The sequence below is a fragment of the Homo sapiens genome, chromosome 6 (genome assembly GCF_000001405.40).
Source record: "Homo sapiens chromosome 6, GRCh38.p14 Primary Assembly".
Classification (NCBI taxonomy): domain Eukaryota; kingdom Metazoa; phylum Chordata; class Mammalia; order Primates; family Hominidae; genus Homo; species Homo sapiens.
Genome location: NC_000006.12, coordinates 146,755,945 through 146,780,287, shown reverse-complemented (window position 1 = coordinate 146,780,287; position 24,343 = coordinate 146,755,945). Strand labels below are relative to the sequence as shown.

At 33.7% G+C, this 24,343-nt stretch overlaps 1 protein-coding gene and 1 long non-coding RNA gene across 2 annotated transcripts in view; one reads left to right on the top strand and one right to left on the bottom strand.

Annotated features, from left to right (window-relative positions):
* The window catches only part of ADGB (androglobin), a 216,491-nt gene that overhangs the window by 35,175 nt on the left and 156,973 nt on the right, over positions 1 to 24,343 (bottom strand). The window contains exons 28-29 of the mRNA NM_024694.4: positions 16,188 to 16,387; positions 11,157 to 11,268 (exon numbers count right to left, since the gene is read on the bottom strand). Of these exons, the coding sequence (NP_078970.3) occupies positions 11,157 to 11,268; positions 16,188 to 16,387 (312 nt within the window). The remainder of the gene's footprint in view (positions 1 to 11,156; positions 11,269 to 16,187; positions 16,388 to 24,343) is intronic.
* The window catches only part of LOC105378040 (uncharacterized), a 39,913-nt gene continuing 24,704 nt past the window's right edge, over positions 9,135 to 24,343 (top strand). Inside the window, exon 1 of the long non-coding RNA XR_943093.2 lies at positions 9,135 to 9,193. This is a non-coding gene — a long non-coding RNA (uncharacterized LOC105378040). The remainder of the gene's footprint in view (positions 9,194 to 24,343) is intronic.

The window sequence follows — 24,343 nt, the reverse complement described above, 5'->3', positions numbered from 1 at the left end:
AATTCCTCCACTACTGTTTACTTTTTAATTCCCTTGTTTTTTATTTGTTTGTATAGATTTTTGAGTTAGTTTCTTAGTGGTTGCTTGGGGATTATAATTAAAATGTTAATTTATAACCATCTAGTTTGAATTAATACCAGTTTAATTTCAATAGTATACAAAAACTTTGTTCACGTATTTCTGTCCCCCTTTATGTTGTTATTATCACAAATTTCATCTTTATACATATGTATATGTATAAAGCCCATCAACACAGACTTATGATCATTGCTTTAAGCTGTTGTCTTTTAAATCAGGAGAATACAGAGTGATAAGCAAAAAAAAATACATTTATATTGACTTTCATATTTATCTATGTAGTTTTACTGGTACACTTTATTTCTTTATGTAGCTTCAAGTTACTGCCTAGTGTCTTTTTTTTTTTATAGCTGGAAGACCTTCCTGTAGTACTTTTGTAGGGCAAGTTTGTTTTCAAAACAAACTGCTTCGGTTTGTTTTCAAAATAAATTGAAAAATATTTTCAGTTGTTTTTTTTTCTGGGATATCTTAATTTCTCCTTTATTTTTGAATGACAGCTTTTCTGGGTAGAAAATTCTTGGTTGATAATTTTCTTTGCAGTTATTTGAATATGTCTTCCCACTGGCTTCTGGTCTCCCTAGATGTTGATGTAAAAATTTGCTATTAATATTACCGAGAATCACTTGTATGTGATGAGCCACTTCTCCCTTTCTGCTTTTAAGATTCCTTGCTTTAGAGAGTTTAATTATGAGGTGTCTAGCTCTGGGTCTCTTTGAATTTTTCCCATGTGGAGTTTAACTTCTTGAATGTGCCAGTTAATGTTTCTCATCAAATCTGGACATTTTCAGCCATTATTAGTTCAAATAGCCTTTCTGCCACTTTCTCTTTTTCTTCTCCCTCTGGAGTTCCCATTATGTACATGCTGGTATGTGTGATGGTGTCCCACAAGTCTCTGAAGATCTCTTCCTTTTTCTTCATTCTATATCCTCAGACTGCATAATCTCAGACTACCATTTTGTGGAGAAAGCTCTGCACAATCAGTAGTTTTGATTCAGCTTTTAAGTGGAGTCTTCCAGGAAATCATCAAACAAGTCAAATAATGATAAGTCTTTGGGAATAAGACCTTGAAATAAATCCAACTCCATTTTACTTCTTCTGGCATCCGCCAGTATGTGCCAGGAATATTGGCTGTTTTTTTTTTTTTTTTCCAAAGCTACTGCTGAGCTGAGGAATGGGACAAGTTAAAATGCCATAAAGTTTCCTATTCTTACAGAAATCCAGCTGTTTTTTCCTTGAACAAACTTTTTTTGCTGCAGACTTTTATAAGTTTCCAGAGTTCTGAAAAAGTTGACTGTCATAATTTTTTGCCAGGTTTTTCATTGCTTTCATGGAGTTACTAATTTTTAGAGTTCTTACCCTGCCATTTTCACTGCCATTCTCCAGGATTTATTTTCTATCCAAACCTTCTGAGGATCTGTGCATGCTGTTTTTCTGAGATAGGGTCCTGGGATAGTGGAAAAATTCATCTAGCCTGGAGACCTTGTCACAAGTGTATGAAATTACAGAGCACTCTGTGGAGGAAGGTGAGATTACACTCTAAGCAGTTCAGCTCTTGCTAGTGATGGGAAGGAAAAATGAATATTGACTGATTTAAAAGTGAGTAAAAAGTTCACAGAAAGAGAATAAGGTTGTTTAAATGAGAGGAAGGATAAGGCTTAAAATTAGAGATTTAGAAACATCAGGATAAGAAGAAAAAAAGAAATAAAAACAAAGATTTTTATAGAAAACCACATATTAAAATAAACTTTTCTCAGAAACCCAAGATAGAAAGTAGGAAAGGCCACAGAGGACACCTTTTCTCCTACATTCTTTCACATCTTTTGTCAGCCATAAACTTTGGGGTGGCAGAAACACTGCCTTCACAGAAAAGCAAACTCAGTGCTGCTTCTTTTCAGTCTCCTCAGGCCTCCCCTGCCTCCAGGTGTTGCAGTACCAGCCCTTCATCCTAACCCAAATATGAGGTAACCAGGCTTCAACCACCCTCACTGGCCATAGCTACAACTTCAGCTTCTGGTCCCAAGAAAATCCAGGTCCTAGAGCTCTCAATGCCAATAGAGTGTGGGATTAACAGAATTTTAGAGCTCCCTTTGTGGCCCACTTTAGATAAGCCAATCTCATAAAAACTGAGCTAGAATAACTCGTTATTTTCACCTCGTGCTGCCAGACAAGTCTGTTACTAATAATGCTGTGTTTGTTGTCACAAAATATGGCTGCTAATGGTGTGCTTATTGTAACACAACAACTCACAGTTTTGGTGAGTGTAGAAATCATACAGATAACCTGTAAAATGCACATCTTGAGGCCCACCTCTCAGAGATTCCAACTCTGTAGTCTGGTGAGGGGCACAGAAATCTGCAGTTTAAAATGTACCTCACGTGATTCTGACACAAGTGGCCTGTAGGTTGTACTTTGAGAAACACTGCTTTAAGAAGTTGCTACAGTTTTCCCTTTTGTCAGAGAAGTGCTGCAAAGGGATGGGCTGAAGGGAAGAATGCCAATGACTTAGGATTCAAAGAAGCTGAAGGTACCCTCACAAGAGTGGTTCTCAAACTTTAGCCTGTGTCAGAATCACCTGAAGGGCTTACCATAGAACAGATTTCTGGGCACCAACCCTAAAGTTTCTGATTTGCTAGGTCTGTGATAGGGCCTCAAAATGTACATTTTTCACAAGTTTCCAGATGGTGCTAAGGCAGCTGATCCAAGGATCACACTTTGAGAACCACTGGTTTACTTTTAGAAGAGTATAATTACCTTTCCCCAACATGAAGGACATGAGCTTTATGCTTTTTTAACCTCTTCTAACAATTAAATATGGAAGTGGTGAGGGGAAAATATTTAAATAATTTATTTATTATTTAAAATAATATTTATTGAATCTTTACTGTGTTTCCTTCTCTTTTAAGTCTCAAGCATCCCAGCAGGGTATATTCAGAGAAGTTATATAATTTACTCAAGTCTCCCAACTGATAAGAGTTGAATCTGTATTCTCAAATACAAGTTCAAAGAACCTGTTAGTCCCTTTCAAAACTGGAGTCTCATGTAAATCACCCCATTAGCAATGTAAAATAGTAATTGTAAATAACCCATATTTATAAATTACTTGGTGCCCATTTATTAGCTACTTTCAAATTGGGGGACAAACCACCCTACCAGACTGCAAAGGGACTGTGAGCGCTCTATAGGAGTGGAAACTGTCCCTTCTGCCAACAATCTCAGCTGCTCAGAAGTCTTGCTGTGGGGAAAATCCTTTGGTCCAATAGTCAAATGACCTAGAGGTGAATTCTGGCTCAGCTGCTAAATAGGTTAACTTTTGTAGGTTTATTACATCCTTTGAGTCTAAGTTTCCTTCTCTGTGTAATGGAGATACTAGCACCATGCCCAGAGAGCTTAAAATAATCAATATAGAGCATTTAAAATAGGATCATATCTGGTATCATACACCCACTGGGTTTTTTAAATGCTTAACAAATGTCAGCTGAAATTGAATCTCAAGCTGCCCCATGAAGCATTTCTGGGGCTTTCTTGTCTTACTACACATAGTTTTTAGTGTTTGAGTAATACATTTAGGTGTATTTGATTCCACTGAAGTTAGCACATATAATATTCAAGTTTACATACACAAAGTACCTACTAAAATGTCAGGCACACGGCAGGTATGTGCCATCCTTCTTCTTTACATTCTTAATATACAGAATAAAATAATTTCCAAAATTTTTAATGGCGTAATTTAGGGTAACCTTTTCTCACATAAATTTTAAGTTCTTTGAAGGCCAGAACATCATTATATGCCTCATTTTAAATTCCTAATTTCATTTAGTATAATGTTGAACTAATAATATATACTGATTATCAGATTGTTTAACTTTAATATGTAAAGCTTTACAGGAAATACATATGTGTTGGGAGTACATATAGTTGTAAGATGCAAGAAAAAAACATTCTACTAGTCCAAGAATTATGAAACATGTTACTTCACATTGCATATTTATGTAATCAGAAGACCTCTAGAGGAAATGACCATTGGAATAAATTAATATACCCCTGGAAGAGAGGAAGTGCTTAGGGAGTATTTTGTTGATGAAATGAGCTCAAAAGGCCATTAGCATTATGCCTTTAGGTCTCCTCTTACAATATCCTCCATATATCCAGAACACAGTAGACAGAAATCTTCAGTGGATAACGAAACATATAAAAATTGTAAAAATTCAGTTTTGTTTTTATGATTAAAATTCAGTGCTTAGGTTTATATATCAGAAATAAAATCAGGTTGGAATTTGAAAATTTACATATTTCTAAGCTAGAATACTTGTTTAGAACAAAGTATATATTTATCAAGTACAGTTATACTTGATAAATATAAACAGAAAAGTCTTTTTATATATATAAATAATATACATATAACATGTATTTAATAATGTTTGGTTTCCTCAAAGACCTTGAATTGGCTACACCATGCATTGTGCCAAATAAAGAACAACAGTATAATATTAATTAGAGTTAAAGGAATAGTGTTATAATACTGCTAATAAAATTCAATGAGACTTGAAACCAAATATTTTTGAGAATGACAAATTTATATTTGTTTTTACAAATAGATTACAACTTCAAAGATCCAGGCCAGCAACACAAAACTGTAACATATTGGCAAAAGGAATTTAAAATCACAACACCAGTAATTATACATGAAGGCAGGTGACATCACTAAGTACTATCTGCTCAAGGTTCTCTAGCCTTCTATTTTCTTAAGTGACCATGAACCATCTCAGTAAGCAGTTTTTACCAAAACTTAGGTTTTAAAATATACTAAAGGTGGCACTGTTGCCTCATGTTAACCAGAGGCCAAGGTTTCTAAACATTTATAATAGAAATATCCTAAGTTGTACATAGCCATTATTTCAAGCCTTATTCTTTCTTATCATGGGTTATAAAGACATGAATTTTTGAAAAAAACCCCACAAATTACATATTGTATTTTTCATATAAATTAAATGTTGAGTATAAATAAGTGGGGCAACATTGACTTCAGGATGAATATCAAATTTAACTTAGGTCACCAGTGTACTAATAAAAAACAACAACAGAAAACCCTTAACCAATTTCTTCTTGATATAAAATTTTATATTTTAAAAGTAAGCTGGCTGAGCATGGTGGCTCATGCCTGTAATCCCAGCAACTTGGGAAGGCCGAGATGAGTGGATTGCTTGAGGCTAGGAATTTGAGATCAGCCTCACCAAAATGGTTAAACCCCATCTCTACTGAAAATACAAAAATTAGCCAGGCATGGTGGCGCACGTCTGTAATCCCAGCTACTTGGGAGGGTGAGGCACGAGAATCCCTTCAGCCCAGGAGGAGGAGGTTGCAAAAAAACCAAAGTAAGCTAAGTGGATAAATTAAAGACATTAGTAACTGAATTTTTCTATATATGTAATTTTTCTATGTATGGAGTAACTGATGTGTGAAATACATCATGCACTTCAAATCAGAGCAGGTAGATTTTAAGTTGTATATATAATTGATACATAGCAGCTGACATATAGACATGCTTTAATCAAATTGACTAAATATTTATAAACATGACATTAAAGACTTAATTATTCTGAATTTGAAAGCTGCTTGACTTTCAAGAAGATTGCCCAACAAAATATTCTTTCAAACAGAAAATTTTCCTACTTCATTTTAAATACAATTTAATTCTGAATTTCTTTGCTGCTTTTCAGCAACAAACATACTATGTAATCCAAAGTGTAATTTAATTTTAGCAGCTGGTCATTCACACATAAAATTTTCAAATGTGATATCAGGAAAGAAAACGTAATTATTTTCTGAAGACTTATTTTTTCTTTGGAATACATGATAATACCATTTTGTTGAGTGTTCACTCATATTATTAATTTTGTACCATTACCCAATTCTACATATTTACATTATTGTATTTCATGAATTAAACTACTGTGTTCATTTCAGATATTAATGTTTTTATCTAGTTTTCCACTAGAATCTTAATAGTTACCCATTAACAGGGAAAAACAATATGGGTCATATATATCTGACAGACGTCTTTATATTACTTTTGTGTTCACTAAAGTAATATAGATAAAGACATCTCTCAGAGACACTGTAAAGATATGAAGCCAGTACTACTGTATATTATTACTTTTCTCCATTCAAAGCCCTAGATGGAGTTTAATTTCCATTAGATTCTCAGCTGTGCCAGTCACTAGCTGTGTGACTGAGAGCAAGTTTCTTAAACTGTCTGTATCCCAGTTCCCTCATCTGTAAAATGACAATGCTGTAGTAATAACACCTACCTCATAAGTTTATTGGGAAGATTAATTGGGTCAATATATGTAAAGCCCTTCTTGGACATAAATGTTAGCAGTTACTACCAGTACCATCAATATCACCACTACCACCAGTACTATTATGACAATACAACTTGTTAGAGTATCTAAAGAGCTTACATGATATGGTGGAAGATTCTGGGCTTTGGAATAAATCAGACTTATGTTAGAACCTTCACTCTGCTCCTTCGAACCTATGCAAACTTAGGCAAATTATTCATAGCATCTAAGGCTCATTTCTTCATCTGTAAAACTGGGATGGTAATAACTACTTCCCAAAGTTTTTGTGAGAATTAAGAAGAATGCATGAAAACTACTAAGTTGAGTAAGATGGACATAATAGCACTCAATTATAATTAGAGTGATTAAACTTCTAGGTCTCTCCAGAGTTTTTCTTGTTTAAAAATTAAAAAGTACCATATTTTTTCCTGATTAAAATTGTATGTGCTCATTTAAAACTTCCCATTTATATATTTTTCATTAAAACTTGTTTCTAGATATAAAATACAAGTGATAAAGTAAAATTACTAATAATTTCAACATCCAGAACTAATTACTTTAATTGGTATGTACGATCTTTTTTTTTTCTCTATGTATGCCTTTTCTTCTTCTACGCATTTATGTATTTTTGAAGAGAGGTGGTAATTTAGGGTCACTAATGTCTAACGTTATGAAGTCTTAATATTAATAATTATGAATTTCTGTGACCTAAAGTGAGAGGAAACATTTCTGAATCTTTCCTCCCCACCATTTCTGATGTGGAAGGAAATGGGAATGGCCTTGAATAGTGAGCTATGTGCAGATACTCTCCTTGTTGCTCTGTCCCTCATGTTGTGCTCTCTGGCAGGAATCAGTCCCTCTTTAGGCACACGTGATGCCCAGTAAGTGCTCCTGTGAGTGATGTGAGTCCAGCACTGGCTCCTGCGTATAGCCTGAGACACATTCTCCTTCCCGCTACTTCTACTTCCAAAGCAAAGCTTTATTTCTCATGCTTGGTATCCTTCAAGACTTTCTTGTATAATACAAACTATTTTACCCTCACTTCCTCCACACATTTCAAGGTGTCATTTTTTTTTCTAAATATCCCAAATTTACAAAATTTTACATAACACACTCAACATATAAGTACTGAAACCAAATTTCTAGTTATCACAGAAAATATACACAGGTATTTAAATTATGTATATATTGTTTTATATATAATAAATAAATTTAGGCAAATATATTTCATATGATATAAATATAATATATAATATATATTATATAATTACATATTAATATAGGAAAAAACCATAATACAGCCCTCTATCAGAGACACAAATAAAGACGTGAAACCAGTACTACTGTATATTATTATTTTCCCCATTCAAATGCCCTTGATGGAATTTAATTTCCATTAGAATTCCCAGCTGTGCCAGCAACCAGCTGTGTGATATATATATATAATAAATATAATATATATATTTAACTAAATTTAATAGTATTGAGATATTTTTCTTTTGCACCATATTAGACATTAGTTTACTTTAGAGAATTGGGAGAAAGCAATTCTAGTCAATAGCATTGTACTATGTGATGCTATTTTTCCCTGAAAAGCTTAAAATTTTTTCACAAATACCTCTTCATGATTGCACATTTTTATGAATCTCATTTAAACATTATTCAGAAACAGGTTTTCCTTGTGAGCAAGATCTTCAATTGAATTCAGCAAGGTTGCTCTGTAGTTTTCCTTTTATGATTTATGATGAGATTATTTGTTTTCTGTCATATGGATCTGGGTTTATAATTTATAATTGCTATAAACAACAGTAGCATGACTATTTTGAGCTTATTGAGACAGGTATAACACGCTATTATAATACAGAAATCAGAATTATAAAGAGTTACAGGCAACTCATGAAAAAGCCCACACTGTCCAAAACAAAAAGCAAAACAAAACAAATCAGAACTGGCTGTCATTCTCTGATCCATTGAAATTCTTAATCCTCAGAAATGTAATGTAAAATCTACCAGTCCTATAACTTGAAGAACAAAGTGGAAATGAGAATAGCTTTGGTGAACACACAAGCTCATACAAAACTGTGCTGTTTCTTTATTCTTTGATTTCTATAATTGTGAATATTTTATTTGCACTTAAATCTTTAGCATAAAATATTTAATTCCACTGGTATTAGGCATATACTCTATCTACTTCTTTGCAGTAGGGGAACACAAAATTACCACATGATTTGTACCATCCATTATTTCAAACAGGTTTCTGTTAATTGATAGAGAAAAAGAAGACAGAGAATGGTGGGGGCCAGGGGCCAGGGGCGGGGGCACGGTATGAGCTAAGAGATTTTGCTTTGAACCACAGGGGAAGTAGGAATAGGGTAATGGTTACTTTAAGCGAGAACAAAAGTGGCAACCTGACGGGAAAAACATATAGAGAAAGAGAATATGGTAACATGCAAAGAGAAATAAACATAAACAACTGATTTTTTTTTTTCATTTATTTTCCATTAGAACTTGGTGGGTGTGGGTGGTCAACTGCAAAATAATCAAAGGGCTCAAATTCACAGCAGTAGATAATCCATAACACAGGGTTAGGCAACATTAGGTGGGTCCAGGAAACCTTCACAGCTGAAGACCCAGAGAAGGGAACTGGGCCGGAAACACAGCATCCGGGAACAAGCTGCAAGGAAGTGATTGCCAAAGCCAACCGCCTGTGCAACCACAACAAGGGAATCAACAGGCGTATTCGGGCGTATTCGGCTTGAGACGTGGCCTGCAAGGTATTTGCGGCTTTCATATGACATTTACTCACAGAATAATTGTGTTCTCTTCTAGTAGGCAAGAATATGAGATCGAAGCCTTGTCTGCTGTTTCAGACATTCTCAGTGTGCTGGGCTGTTAGGGGTGTTGGCTTTAGGAGGGGAGGTTGAAGTAGAATGGGCAGATGTTTTGGCAAAATTCATATTCCATGACTATCCAGGGAATGTGCGAAAGTGTTTTTATGTATAACACTATGGAGCAGTAGCACAGCCACTCGTTCAAAAAACAAGGTTTGAACACCCCATTGTCTGCTCTGGAGTTATCCACATACCACACACGAACAGCAAAGAGGCGGCGACTCTGTGGCCCCAGTGCTACCACTTTCTCTTCCTGTGTCTACGTGGAATATTGATAAAACATCACAAAACTTTCTCGTTGAGCCTGAACACAGCCTCAGAATCTTGCCCACACAGCAGGCCAGGATGCCATTAGGATTTACACATACCTGAGGTCACTGGTGTGGCATGTTCATGCATTCATTCATTAAACACTTATTGACATCTCCCACTAGTGCTAGAGATGCAATGATGAGACCGAGGAAGAACACATCCCTGCCCAATGAGAGAGGAACCTCAGAAGAGGCCGCACAGTGCGATGCCGTTGGAATTTCGGCAGTGTGATGCGTTGCTATGGAAGCACACTCAATACATTTGAGTGGAAATGGGAACTCTTGGTGTCATACATTTTTATAGCTTTTCTTTGAATTTTAAGACACATACTAGAATCTATACCTTCTAATAAAGTAAGCCTGGCAATAACAGTTTTCTCTTAACTTCTGTACACACAAACCTTTTTAAGCTCTTTCTTGATCAGGTCCAGGCAGATAATAGAAGCAAGCAAACGCCTGAACAGAGTTGTTGGCAATTAATAAATAAGGGTAATAATAATAGGAATAGCTTACATGTATCCTTCCATTTACTCATTCAGCTAATATTGTGGGGTGCTTACTGTTCATATGGGATCTAACTAGGGATAATGCAAGGGACGAAACAGGTGAAAATGGACAAAACTCCTCATTCTTCAGGGGCTTGCATTCTAATAGAGGAATATAAATAATAGATAAAATTTACTGTTTCTTAGAGGACGAAAAGGACTAAGAGTTTACGTCTTATCATAAGCGTGTTGTATGTATACTAAAAATTCTGAATGATGACAAAGCCCACTTCGGTGGTGGCTACCATCAAGTGTTTGAACTCAGGTTAATGGGACCCAGGAAGAAATGGAGGCTTTTACATTTTATGTTATACCCTTTTGTATTGCATGGGTTTATTTTATTTTAAAAATAACATGCATATATTATTTTATGATTAGGCAATCTAGCTTAAATTTGAAAGAGAACATAAATAGAAAATACACATTCTTTCAGATTCAATTATTAGATTGCCCAATGGGATATAAAGCTGTTGGAGATTTCCCTTTGATTCTCTTTTTTGAAAGCAACAAGCTTCCTGGCCAGGAATACTAGAGTAGTTTATATTTTGAAAAAATAAACCAGAGTACTCTTTCACTAGAAAATTATTCTTCTGGAATTGAAGAATTTGTGAAATATTTTAAAAGCTTGTATTTAATGCTATATATTCTCAAAAAATATGGGCAAATATAATTTTATAAATAGAAAAATGTCATACATTTTTGAAATGTTCAAAAGTATAATCAATTAGTAATTTTTATTAACTAGACAAAATGTGCTTACATTACATCTAACTAATCATATTTTTTCCTTATAAAACAGGCAGTAAAAATATTGAAACATATAATCAATTAACACAACAGGAAATGTAACAGGATATAGAGTACAAATTATAATGTGTAATAAAACATCATACAATGATATTTTCATGACTAAATCAATTTATTATTAAATATTTAAATATCAACTTATTCAAATGTAAAGTGCATGTTTAAACATTTAGGGTGACATACCTTTGGTATTACTTTTCTTTAAGTCTTTCAGTGCTTGAACAAATGTCAGCTGGCTTTCAGTGAGAGGCCAACTGTTATACAACACCGAACACTGTATAATATACTTGTAATTCTGTGAAATAAAATGCAGTGTTTAAAAATGATAAGAACATACATGGTATGTGCCTAATGTCATTTATTATGCTAGGTACATGATAAATGCAGAATTTTCCAGATCAGACAGTCATAATTTAGTTAAATCATGCTGGATGTTCTCCAAAACTCTGTAACGCTACACTTTATAAAAGTTTAATAGCCCCACATCCCCACCAACACCTGCCACTACCCAACTTTATAATTTTTGTGAGTGCAGTGGGTATAAAGTGAAATCTCACTGCTATTGTATTTTGCATTTTTAAGATTACTATAAAGTTTGAGTATTTTTTCAAAGCTGTTGGCCTTTAGGGTTTTCTCTTCTTTGTGATCATGACACAGAAAAAAATAGTCTCCTACATTATCTATTATTATATTTAGGGATTAAAATTTTACAATTAAATGTTCACTATATCTGGAATTCACCTTTATGTATGATGTTAGCTAGTGATCTAGTTTTATTTCTCTCCATGGAGATGTAATTTTCCTAGTACAACCTACTCAATAGTCCATCTTTTCTTCATTGGTTTATGGTGTTGCCTCTATTCTATATGAAATTTTCATAAAAATATGGATCTGTTTCTATCTTACTTTCTCTTATTGTTCCATTTACCTATGTATGCATTAATTAATACTATTTTTACTGCTATATCTTTTTGTCTTTGGAAATACTAAGACACACTTTGCTCTTTTTTCCCCAAGTTCCGTTAGCTATTTGTGAATTGCTATTCATTCCTATGAATTTTAAAGTATCTTTAGAAAATTTCAGAAAAATACAGTGGGAATTTTGATTGGGATTGCATTGAATTTAAAGGCAGATTGAGGATAACATATCTTTATACTGTTATGCCATCTTGCTGAAAAGCATGAAATGCTTCTCTATTTATTCAAGTCATCTGTGTCCATCAGTGGATTGGGTTACTTTCTGTAGCCTTTATTCAAGTGTTAAGCTTTTCTATGTGGAAAACTGATATATTTTTGGTTAATTCCTGGGTGTTTTCTGATTTTGTTGCTGCTATTATTAAAGGCATCATATTCTGATGTCTAATGCATAGTGCCGGTGTAGAGGAACACTACTGATTTTTGTTTAAGTTGTAGTAGCAGAACAGCATTGTGATTAAGGGCATGACCTCATGAGCTAGAGCTGTCTGGGTTGAAGTCCTGCTTTAGCACAAACCAGCTGTTTGGCCTTGAGGAAGTCACTTAAGCTTCCTGTCCTCCAGGTTCCTTGACTGTGAAATACAGATAATAAGAATACTTACTTCAAGAGGCTGAGGTGGGTGGGTCACCTGAGGTCAGGGGTTTGAGACCAGCCTGGCCAACATGGTAGAGAACCCCTTTGTCTACTAAAAATACAAAAAATATTAGCCGGGTGTGGGGGCATGTGCCTATAATCCCAGCTACTCCAGAGGCTGAGACGAGAGAATCACTTGAACCCCGTAGGTGGAGATTGCAGTGAGCTGAGATCACGCCATTGCCTGGACAATGGAGTGAGACTCTGTCTCAAAAAAGAAAAAGAAAAAAGTTGATGGGGAGAATTCAAGATCTATGTGTGAAGCACATAGTATCAGGTGCATAGTAAGTAATAAGTAAGTCAATATATTAGTTATTACTATTAATGTCTTTGGCAATCTTGCCAAAATCTCTTAGTTCTAAAGTTTGTTTATTCTGTTGTTTTTTCTTGGGCATATGATTATATTATCTGTGAGTAATTCAATGATTATTTAGAATAATCTTTTAATTATTTTGTTCTTTGTATCATTGTGGCTTTCCATTATCATAATAGTTCAGTATCATTAAATACTAACAATTATAGCAAGCATTCTTTTCTTATTCCAATTTTAATAGGAACACACTTACACTTCCCACATTAGTATAATGGTTTTGTATATGAGATTTGGCCATTAAGTGTAAAATTTTTGGCATGTAACATTTATGATGAAGAAGTTCTCTCCTATGCCTAGTTTGCTAAGAGCACATTTTAGAAATCCATAAATAGGTGTTAAACTTTGTCAAATGTTTCAGGATTATATGATTGTTCTCATCTAGTGTATTACTGTAGTGACTAATACTGATAGATTTTCCAATGGTAAAAGATTTCTGAATTTCTGAGAAGAATTCTGTCTGATTGCTTAATACACTGCTAGAATTGGATATCTATTATGTTATTTGCAATTTATCACCTATGTTTATAAATACATTTTATTCCTTTTTGTGTTACCTTTATCTGGTTTTGAAATCAGGATTACATTAATTTCTTAAAAAGGATTGAAAAGTTATATTGTTTGTTTTCCGTAAGAAATTACTTTTTAAAAGTCTATTGGACCTATCCTATAAAGCCAAAAGGGGGCCTATGGTTTTTTGGAAAGGGAAGACTTAGAGGACTTTGAATTATCGTTTCAATTTTATTATTCTTTACTGTTTTATTCAGATTTTCTATTTTCTTGTGAATCAACTCTGCGATTTCTCCTCTCCCCCACCCTCAGGAAGTTATGTGTTTCCCCCTCACCCCCAGGTTTAATTTAGTTTAATTTAATTTAATTTAATTTAATTTAATTTAATTTAATTTTACTGAGACAGAGCCTCGCTCTGTCGCCCAGCCTGGAATGCAGTGGTACAATCTCGGCTCGCTGTAACCTCCGCCTCCCAGGTTCAAGCGGTTCTCATGCCTCAGCCTCTGAAGTAGCTGGGATTACAGACACCTGCCACCATGCCTGGCTAATTTTTTGTATTTTTAATAAAGAAAGGGTTTCTCTACCATGTTGGCCAGGCTGGTCTCGAACTCCTAGTCTCAAGTGATCTACCAGCCTCAGCCTCCCAAAGTGCTGGAATTATAGGGGTGAGCCACTGCGCTCACCGCCCCCCTCACCCCTACCACCCTGTAGGTTTTAAATTTGCTGGCACAGAGCTGTTTCTAATACTCTTATTTTTTTAACCCATTGTCTGTTGTTACACCTCCACCCTAATTTTTTGTTCTGTATTTGGTTAATTTATATCTTCTTTTTCTCTTTTTCTTAGTTGGTCTTACTAGAAGTACGTGTATTTTATTAATCTTTAAAAGTACCCTGGGTTTTATTAATCTTTATTTTTTATTCCACATTTCATTGATTTCTGCTCTCATCATTATTAAAATCCTTTCTTTTATCTTTGAGTTACTTTTCTGTTCTTTTTTTGAATTTTTATTTCAATAGCTTAGCTCATTTGTTTTTAATCATCCCTGCTTCCTAATGAATTAATCTAGAAGCTGCATTGTATTTTTACTACTAAAAATAGTAGTAGTAAACAAATGCTATTTTAGATGTTGTTTACAAATTTGGATTGTTATTGAATCTTATGTATTTCATAATTTATTTTCTAATATTCTTTTAAACTAAAGAATTATTTAGTATATTTAATATATTTTATTTAGTTTTATTATTTATAGGATTTAAAACTCCTTGTTAATTATTAGTTTCTATTTTATTGCATTAAGTTCAGATAACATACTATATGATAGGGATAGTTTGGATTTTATTGAGGCTTCCATTTATTGTCTATTACATGATATTTTAAAAAAATCTCATGTGTGCCAAAAAAGTATATTCTCTGTTTATTGGGTAAAGTGTTCCATATAGATATCTAAATGATTAAGCTTATATTTAGATTTTTTTTTCAAATTCTCACAATTCTATTTACTTAGTTTTTCAGCTTGAACTGTCAGTTTCCACGAGGCATGGGTTAAAAATCTTCAATTATTCATGATTTACTTATCTTTTTATCTCTGTAGTTCTAATAGTTATTGCTTTTTATTTATTGTGTCTAGATAATTAGGTGCCTATATGTTAGTTATGGCCATGTCTACTTGATTTATTCTACCTTTTATTTTTATATAATGTTTCTATATGTATTAAAACTATCATCAGGCCAGGCACGGTGGCTCGCACCTGTAATCCCAGCTCTTTGGGAGGCCACGGCAGGTGGATCATGAGGTCAGGCATTCAAGACCAGCCTGGCCAACATGGTGAAACCCTGTCTCTACTAAAAATACAGAAAATTAGTCAGGTGTGGTGGCAGGCACCTGAAATCCCAGTTACTCAGGAGGCTGAGGCAGGAGAATCGCTTGAACCCAGGAGGCAGAGGTTGCAGTGAGCCGAGATCACGCCATTGCACTCCAGCCTGGGCAACAGTGCAAAACTCCATCTCAAAAAACAAACAAACAAACAAAACACTATCATCACAGCTCTCTCTTGGTTCATATTTGCCAGGTATGTTTTTCTAACATTCTATCATGAAACTTTCTACAGCAGTTTGTTTAAAATAGTTAGATCTTATTTTTATATAACTTTAAAATTTTAGCATTTTAGTTGATTAATTTGATCTATTTGGATTTATTGTAATTTCTGTGATATTAACATTTATTTCTGGCATTTTCTTTTCTATTCCTTTAATTTAATTTAAACTTATTTTACTTTTTGGTTTCCAATGGCTAGGTCATACCTTTGTCTGCTGTTTTATAAATATGTACATTATCTTTTTTCCCTTTAATTGTAAGCACATACAAATTAAGTTTTATTAATATATGACCTTTAATATGTGACATTTATTAATATGTGACCCACAAAGTTATATAGCTTCTTATAACCCAACTATAAAATTAGATAATTACAGGTACATTATAGAGTTCATGTACATATTAAATTTGCCAAGATGTATTCATGTACATATTAAATACATCTCTGTGCCAAGATGTATTTAAAGATCTTGGCACAGAGAAACTGTTCAAGACTCTCTTATTCTCCAATTCTGGCTATACATTGGCAGCACTGCACACTGTATATTGACTATTTTTAGGGAAATGATTGTTTTGTTTTATGTTAGGGTTTTAGGAACAGTCCAATTGAACAATTGTTTTTAATATACCTGCAGTGGTGTGCTGGAACTGTCTTCTCTAGTGGGTGTACTGGTAGTTTCCTCCTCCACAAGGGGTAGACCAATGTCTTGTATTGCACTTACAGCTCTACCCTTGGGGGATTTCTGAATTCCCTGAGCAGCTTTCTTCTTAACATACACTTCTTGCTCTTTCTTGGATGCAGAGTGAAATGAAAGAATGTGCTTGCTAGCTGAATAGGAGAAATACTAAGTTAAAGTTAAAATATGTGATATACATAGTTATTACTGACTAAATCAGTTACATTCCTTTATAAAACACTCAAAGGAATAGGTCAATTCTTTTGTTTTAGTGAGATAAAAAACAGTGTTTTTGGTTTATTGTTCTTAAGGAAATCTATTATAATAGTATGTGACATGCACAGAGCAATGTATATTCTGAGTAACCACTTATTTCTAAAAGTATATACAACAGTTCAACAATTTCTCATTTATTTTGTGCCACTTGAATGACCCTAAGCTAACGCCAGACACTGATTTTCTGTGTTTAATGCCACATATGTATGTTATCACACTTATAAAAGACTTTCTCTTTAATTTTCAATTTTTAATTATTTTCTAATTAACAGATCATATAAGTACTGCTGATAGGTTTAAAAATGGAAATGTGGTGAAGAATTTTTATTTTCAATTATTTTCTAATTAACAGATCATATAAGTACTGCTGATAGGTTTAAAAATGGAAATATGTTGAATGTTATTAATTAATTCATCAAACATGTATTGAAAAAACATAAGTGACTGACACAGGGATATTCTAATTCCAGCCATGACATTGGGCTTATTCTCGTACCACAAAAAATGATAAAAATGGACAAAACGTATAAAGCAACTATTTTTAGCCACCGGAAAATATACAGCCCAGGATTGTGATCCTTGAGACAAGGGAAACATACAAAGTGACCTCTTGATTTCCAGAGATTTCTGCCTGCAAGCACCTTCCCAACTGTATACAGGGAAGTACAGCCCAAAGTAGTGAACAGCAGTGCTGCTAGGTTTAGGAAACAAAGATGGGTGAGTGGGGCTCCTGCAACAAGTAAAATTTGAGGTAGGATACCAGAAGGGAGTATATGAGCAGTTAAGGAGCTCAGAAATAGACATGGTGTCCACTTGAGTCTTTAGCTGAATTCTAAACTTCATTTGTGCAAACACTCAACAATACCAGGCAGACAATAACTACTGGGGGGCTGTGAGCTTAATGAAGATTCTGGTAGTTCCACAGTGTTGAGAGACATTGAAATTCTGACTTGTCAAAATGAAGGGAATTCAGTGAATATGCAGAGCATTCAGTTGAGACCCAAGAAAGGCCAAGCTTTAAGAGTAGAGCTACCCTAACACTAGAGTCATGGCAACTCTAGAACTGACTTACTAAGCTCAGGACCAGGATCAAGCTGCCAATAAATTAACTGCCCGCCAGAACAAGATTCAACACTCTTTCAATTAAAAGAGCATAATCTAGACTCTTAGCAGTGTAGCACGCACAATATACAGCACACAATCAATTTGATAGATGAAGAAGCAGAAAATGTGACCATAACTTGAGAAAATAGTCAATAGAAATAGATATGAAGCTGATAAAAATGTTGGACTCATCAAACAAGGACTTTAAAATAGCTATTTAAAATGTGCTTAAGGATTTATGGAAAAAGATGAACATACTGAGTGAACAAATGGTGAGTATCACAGAAAAATGAAATATATGAAGAATCAAAATGAAATTCCAGATCTGACTATATCTGAAATAAAAAATATCTGGATAGACTTGAACAACATTTTGTCAAATTCAGAAGAAAAGATTAGTAAACTTGAATACAAGCAATAGAAATGATTGAAATAGAACCACAGAGTGAAAAAACTTCAAAAGAGGATAAGTGATTCATGGTACGATATTGTGGGAAGTGAAATAGTGACCCCCCCAAAAAAATATGTCCACCCAATAACTTAGAATGTGACCTTATTTGACATAAGGGTGTTTGCAGTTCTAATTAAGAAAAAGATCCTAAGAAGACATCAACCTGGATTAGGATGAGCCCTAAATCCAATGATGGGTGTCCTTAAAGGTGACAGAAAAATGGTAAAACATGGAGACATACAAATAAGAGGGTCATGTGAAGATGTTGGCAGAGATAGGCAGAGTTAAGTTGTCTCAAGACAAGGAATACCAGGATCCACCAAAAACTAGAAGAAAGGAGGAAGGATTCTCTCCTAGAGCTTTCAGTGGCAGTATGACCTAGACAATATGTTGATTTCAGACTTCTGCCTTCCAGAACTGTAAGGGAATGAATGTTCATTTTATTAAGCCATCCACTTTATGTAGTTTGCCGTAGCAGTCCTGGAGAATGAATAAAGATATCAAATTGCATAGAGTATGTATTTTTAGTCCTAGGTAGAGCACCACTAAAAATAAAATACTTAAATATGAAAATAGTAAAGTATATGCACCATCTGCTGACTCACAATATAAATGTTGCTGACAGAAATTGAAGATAAAATTGAGGGATGTACTGTGTTCATGGACCAGAAAGCTCAGTTTTGTTAAGAAGTTAGTGCTCCCCAAGTTCAGTGCAATCCAAATCCAATTAAAATCTACAATTTTGAAGAAAAGGCAGTGTTGGAGGAAGAGTAGTTATTTAGATCAACTGATCCAGAGTCCAAAAGTAGACCTATACACACATGGTTAAGTGACTTTTGACTAAAATGTCAAGGTAATTCAATGGAGAAAATATCATCTTTCCAATACGCAGTGCCAGAAAAACTGTATATCTACATGGGAATAAAGATAATTTTGACTGCCTACCTTAAACCATACATAAATATTATTTCAAGATGCATCATTGAAATAAACATGCATGCTAAGATTATAAAACTTTTAGAATAAAACATGAAAGAAAATATTCATGATCCTAGATTAGGTAAATATTTCTTAGATAAAATACAAATAGCACTAATTTTTTTAACAACTCCAATTTTATAAAAATTAAAAGCTTTTGCTCTTCTAAAGTTGCTGTTAAGGAAGTGAAAAGACAAACTTAGACTAAAAGATCATATTGGCAAAGCATACATTTGATGAAGAACTTGTATCCAGAAGATACAGAATATATGAAGAACAGGTTAATAATAATAAAGACAACTCATTAAAAATGTGGGTGTAATGTGTGAATAAATCCTTCAATCAATAAGTTATACACATGTTCAGTAAGCACACATAAGATGCTCAACATCATTAGTCATAAGGGAAATGCAAATTAAACTACAAAGAAGTAGTACAATATATAAGCTAGAATGATGGATTAAAAACATTGACAGCAATAAATGTAAGAAAAAATGTGAGAAACCAGAACATTTATACCTTGTCGGGAATGTAAAATGATACAATCCATTTGATAAACTGTTTACCATCTTAAAATAAATGTATACATATGTCAAACACTGACATACTAATTCAACTCCTGAATATTGATCCAAGTGAAATGAAAACATAAGTCCAAAAAAGGATTTGTACAAGCATGTCCTTATCAGCTTGAGTCACCATATCAAAAAACTCCAATAAACCCATATGTCCAATAGGAGAATGGGTAGACAAAGTGTGGTATCTCCATACAATGGAATTAATACTCAGAAACATAGATAGAAATAGAATAGTGTTATATGCAATAACATGGATATAACTTAAAAACATTATGCTGAGCAAAAGAAGCCGGTGTCAAAAGATAAATACTATATGGTTCCAATTTTATGAAGTTCTAGAACAGGCAAAGCTAGTCTATTGTGATGGAAATGTGAACAGTGATTGCCTCTTTGAGGGTGAGGAAATTGAATGAAAATGGCCTGAAGTATCTTCTGGGTAACAGAAATATTTGATACCTTGTTAGGGGTGTGGGTCATACTAAAGTATGTACTTATCAAAACATTGATTTATACTTTTTGCTGTATATAAATTATACTTTAATAAAAAATTAAAAATGTATAACACAAAGGCCCTGTCCTTTACTTCCTTCCATCCATTAGTCATTAATTCATAACTCATTATTTTTACAAAAACATTAGAAACACATAGGTAAAAGGGCAAATTTCCCTAATGTATGAGACTCTACAAATCAGCTAGAAAAGAATAGCTAACTTTAATTAAAAAATGGGAAAGCACTTAAAATTTTGCAAAGAAGGTAATACAAAAAGAGGAAATATAACACATAAAAATTTGTTCAAACCTCACTAAAGACAAATGAAACATAAATTAATATTTGTAGCATTCAGATAACAAAAGTCAAGAAATATAACTCTGTCAATCAGGGGAGCATGGATAAAGGAGGATAAATTTACTCAAACTCCAGTAGAGGGCAACTGGACAATGTATAAGAAAATAACAATGCATGCACCCATTCATTGACCTAGTAGTTCTACTTCTAAACATTTATTTCATATATATGCATGTACACATTCAGAAAATTAGATACACAGGTTATTTGTTAAAATTCATCCTTGAATTTTAAAGATTGCGCATATCACAGATCACTCTCTGTAGGAGCCTAATATAACCATATGAAATAAAATATTGTATTATTCCTAGCCTATAGGGCTTCCTCATACTCAGTTATCTAGAATGTAAATTTTATGGAAAATTATAAATTTCCCAAATTACAAATTTTAAAATTAGAAATTTTACAAAATATTCAATATTACAAGTTTTAAATTGACCTTATACCATAAGTATTAGTATAAGATTTTATTCTTTAAAAATTATAAGATATACAGATATTCTGTAAATTCCTATGATATGATACAGAACAGATATAAAGAAGTCTGTATATAAGATCTGTGACTGGCTCATTTTGAACTTCTGCATCCTTGCAATGAAGTTTTATCTTTCCTTTAGCATGTGGTAAGAGTGTTTGTGTACAGAATACCTATCAAGGTAGTGTGTACCTTGATATCCTGTAAAGACACACACACAGATTTTTTGCAACTATTAGTATTTATGTGGGGGTACTCCAGAAATACATACCGTAAAGGATATGTAAATAGATTTGTTTCCAAGAGAAGCCACGGAAAAGTGTTTATTTTTAAATTCAGTGTCTTTTATATCACACATAGACACAAATTAATAGCATCAATTTAAAAACAACACCCTGTTTGAAGTCTAAATGAAGAAATTATCTAATGTACAATAATAGTTCTATCATATGGAGAAATCTTTTAATCTTTTCTGTGAAAAATAAAAGAGGTCATGAATAAATGGAAATAGCCTTTCCTTGCATGCAAATTCGATATTGTAACAATGTCAGTTTCCTTAAATTATAGTATCTATATATTCAAGGCAGTCAGAAGAAAAACAGTGATTTCTGTGTGTTTTGAGAAAACTTGAAAAACTGTATTAAAGTTCATCTGGAAATACTAATGGTAAAATAGAAATATCATGTAAAATAAGAGCCATTATAGATGTTGGCTCTACTTTTGGATCAATTTCTGATCTCTGACCCAGTTACTCTTCCACTCAATTTTTCTGTATCTTTCTTGGCCAGAAGTAAACCTATAAAAATTGGTTTTAAATACTTATGTATACTTCTCTTATAAATGGTACATTTTCAATGAAATAATGATTAAACTAGATGACAAACTATAAACAGTGTTACCTGCAAGAATTTGAAACTAAAAATTGCAGAGAAAATTGGTGGTGGTAATTAGCTAATTAAAGAAAAGCATGAGGTCATAAATAGCACAGGAGAGCTGCACAAAAGTGCCCACTAAGATTTTGGAATTGAGTTCCCTCTGTGAACTAAACTATAATACCGGTGTAAAATGTATCAAAATAAAGAAAACAGCCATTTTAAAGAGTTAAAAACAGCATTCTGACTGACAAAACATGTCTGATAAATGGTCTTAACATATCTAAAGAAAAAACTAGAAATGGAGTTGGGCAAGTTTGAATGAGAAACCACAAAGGAGTAATGCAGCCTAAGTGCTGAAAACAACCCAGGAGATATTCAGGGGTGAAGGACAAGTGATGGAAGAAAGAAGACATGCTCAAAAGAACTGAAAGTACTACAGCTTTGCCCAAGCTCAACCCTACTAATATAGTACATGCATATCCCACTTCCCTGTGACTTAAACACTGCACTTGTGCCCTAATTATATCATCCCAGTGTGGTATTTCTTCAATTCTCCTCAAAGTCTTATTCACACTGGAAAGGCATATCCCTGGGTTATGATAACAATTCACACGTTATTTCCAAGGTTAATAGGACAGGATGAAGACAGCCTTCCTGTAAGGGCTTCTATTTTTCTTTCCAAATAAAAAGCACTCTAAGGATTCTTATTTATTTAAAATTATTTAAAACATTAAAATTTAAATTTAAAGTAAAAAATTTAAATTTTAAAAGTTTTAAATTTAAATAATTTAAAATTATTCTAAGGATCAGAACAGAAGGATCCTTACTTCTTTGTGCATCTTACTGTCCAAGTAAGCTTCAATTTACTATTCATGGAAGGCTGGAGTTAAACTCCCTGCTAAGACCATTGGGGTATTGTACAGTAACTAGTAATTAAAAGAATGACAGGAACAAAAGACTTTTCTACAAATGGATATCATATAATATACAATTTTTAAAAGAGAGATAGAGTATGTTCAAAGATCCATGCAGAATTAAACAGTCAAGGAACAGAGATAAATTCAATCTATATAAGCATTTAATAAATATATTATTAACATATTTGTTCACTATACATATTAATTAGAATGTGTAAAAAATTCCCAATAAAATAATTGTAAACCAAATCTACTACTATTAACAAAAACCACCACAATCAACTAGGGTTTATTCTAAAATAGCAAATATCATTGAATATTGAAAATATTTATATAATTTATGATAACTATAAATCAAATGGGGAAATATAAATCGTAAAAAACACTTGGTAAAAGTAAATATGTTTTATAAATTAAATTTTGTAAATGATGCAACATATAATACAAAGAGTTTTCTTTAACAAATTCCCTCAATCATATTTGTTGATGAATTATGGGTAAATCATTACAGGCATTCAAAATAAATCTAGGAACAGTGGCTCACACCTGTAATCCCAGCCCTTGGGGAAGCTGATGCAGGTGGATCACTTGAGGTCAGGAGTTTGAGACCAGCATGGCCAACATAATGAAATCCTGTCTCTACTAAAATACAAAAATTAGCCGGGTGTGGTGTCACGCACCTGTAATCCCAGCTACTTGGGAGGCTAAGGCACGAGAATCACTTGAATCCAGGAGGTGGAGGTTGCAGTGATCTGAGATCACTACAGCCTGGGTGACAGAGTGAGACTCCATCTCAAAAAAAAAAAATTTAGGAACAAAATGATGATGAACATGTTGATGTCGAGTGGGTAGTACTATTTATTGGGGCATTTAGAAGGGAAATATATTGGTACAGTGGGAGGATGGAAATTATGTTTAGCGAGCACAATTACACTGAGTTATGCAATAAAATCAGAAGAAACTTGAAAGTCAGACTAGAAATATGGAAAGAATGAAATAGGGAGAAACTAATCAGAGGTATGTATATGTAATATTTTACATTCTATAAATCATAATAATGAGATAAATGAAAAACACAGAGAGATTTCAAATAAGCAGTGTTAAAATCTTGATTAAGGTCACAGCCTGAACTGTACTCCTTGTCTCCCTGGAAATGGGATTCTTACCCGACGTTAGTGATCAAAACCAAAAACTGATTTAGGAAACAATACTCAGAAGTAGAGCCACACGTGGCAAGGTCTATCTTGCAGAAAGCTCTGGGGAGAATGGTAGGAAGGATTTGTATTATAGACTGAGTGCCTCCAGTCAAGTTAGTGTAAATAATAAATCCTTCAGTGGTACCCTTCATCCCACTAGCTAGGAGCAGTTCCTGGATAGAACACTGGACTGGGAAAAGACAGAGACTCAAACTACTGAAGCCTGTGTAAGATGATGGGATATCAAACAATTTGCAGTGATCTGTTGCTCAGCTTATACTCCCTAATTTGCCTGTAGTTGTTAAAGAGAGAGGGACAGGGAGTCAAAAGTCAGTGTCACCACTGGAATCTGTATTGCTCTGGAATGCCCACCTATATAACTAAAACAAAACAAAACAAACAAAAAAATA